Genomic DNA, 2,238 nt, shown 5'->3' on the forward strand with positions numbered 1-2,238 from the left:
ATTCACTTAGAACCTCTAGTTTTCAGCTTTAAGCTTCTGCCACTTTTCCTGGACCAAGAGTCCTTTTATGAATTCACAAACACTGAACAGGCCAGATCAATCAGCAAATATATTTTAAGCAACTATTTTATGCACTAGGCTATGGAATGGAAATGGAAATGAATCACAGGATTAGTGGTGAGGGACCTCAGTAGATTAAGGGAGGTTAAATATCTGTAATAAGAGATAGAGTTGGAAATTGTAGATGAGAGAGAGAATTGGTCCTCACAGGGGACCAGATGTGGTTCTATGTTGGCAGTTTATAGTTTCCTTTCCCCACTTCCCTCATTGTAGAAGCACTAATTACAGGCAGGGGAAGGTGAACTGTGCATAACTAAATTGGATTATATTTATTGTTTCCACAGGAACCACACCATGCGGGGAATGTTTGTTCAGGGAATATGCTGTGTTTGTGTTCATTTCATCCAATTGTCCACAAGAGTGATTGAATTTTGTGTTCTATAACTTTAATACCATGAAATATGCTTGAAGTATATTGGTTCTAAACAGGATATGAATTTCAAAACTCCTGAGCTATCCCTTTGCACTGTCCTCCCTTGTACTTGTGTTGTCAATATTTTGTTAAGTTTATCTTCCCTCTTGCCCTTCCATTCAGCTTTTAAAAAATATAAAAATGTGAAGGCCATCTTCAAAGCCCTGCTGTTGGATCTGAGGCCTTTGCTTTTCTGGCTTGTGGTCGTTACCCTGATAAGGAGAATAATTGATGGTGCTGAAAGGGGATGGGACAGCAAGCAGTAGAATGTCCTGGTTGGGAGCTCAGGCTTAACCTGAGCTCACATTCAGGTGCCACCACTTAGCAGCTCTGTTACCTGGGGAAGTTGCTTACACTTCCTGCACCTCCATTTTATTATTTGTATAATGGCAATAAAAATACTACCTCCCTAACAGGACTTTTGGGAGGATTAGATGAGAAAATGCTTGTAAATCCCTTAGGACAGTGTCTGACCCATAATAGGGCTTAATAAATATGCCATGTTATTCTGAAGAATGGGGTAGGGTGGGGAGAAGGAATGTTCTTAGTAAATGTGTACAGAGTCACTATGAATTTTATAAGCGCTATAGCATTTTTTTGCGGACTGTGCTGTCTCCAGGAGGGATCTATAGCTTTTCATTAGGTTGGAGGGCCTTCTCAGTGAAGAAGGAAATTATCTCATCAGGGTTCATGTTCTGTGGTTGCAGTGCCTGCTGATGTTGATTTAGCTCACTTACAAAGCCACACACCATGAAGTAGCGTTCATCGCCCTCTGCATTAGCTTATTAATCCTCGGGTTATTCCTCTATGGTTGAAGGGCATATTTGCTTTCCAGTGGAGGCACCAGGAGGTAAAATAATGTGCCCCAACTGGGACGGAAAGAGACTGGTTGAACCAGCTCTGTTTCTCCCTCAGCCCACCATGGTTGGAGGTCCCATTTGCACTGAGGACTTTTTAATCCCTAAAATTGATGACTTAATTGTAGGTGTTTTATTTGCTAAGTGAGAAAGAGGCAGTGGGGGATTATAGAGTATAAACTTGACCAGTAATCACTTTGGATTTGAGTCCCTTTCCTGCCCTCTCTGCTATTCAACTGGGTGCAATTAATCACATTTCATTCCCACATCTATACAATGCAAGATCAGATGTGAGCAATCCTCAAGTCCCCTTCCAGTGCAAACGCTGCATGTATTCAAGATTTCGGAGAAGGGAGACTACTATTAATGACCCTAGTATCTTATTAAAGTAGAAGAGATTTTAATGTTAGCACTTTCTGCTTTATAACTAAGTAACATGTAGCAAGTTTTGCCCCTTCAGCAAGTTAGTCAAGCTCTGCTCTGGGCATCTTCGGACCCAAAGGAAGCACAAGGCAAGTGATCAGAGGGTGTCCTGACTGCACCAAGGCTGAGGATCCTGCCCTGGGCCCACCCTGACCCTCTTGGCTTTTTCCTGATGCTGTGGGTGGGGCTGCTTCATGCAGAGCTTCCTGGCAGCTGCTGTTTTTGGAACCTGTTTCTATGGGTTGCCAAAGACAGTGAGCTCATGGCATGGCTGTCTGGCCCAGCATTCGGCTCCAGGATCTCCTTTCTGCGAAGGCCCCTCTCCGTTCTCCTCCCAGGCAAATGTACAGCTGGCTTTGGTTGCATCTAACTGTAGTATGATCACTCAACTTTTCTCCGAAAATGTCAGGGGCTCAGTGCTACCCT

The sequence above is a fragment of the Homo sapiens genome, chromosome 5 (assembly GCF_000001405.40).
Source record: "Homo sapiens chromosome 5, GRCh38.p14 Primary Assembly".
NCBI classification, from domain to species: Eukaryota; Metazoa; Chordata; class Mammalia; order Primates; family Hominidae; genus Homo; species Homo sapiens.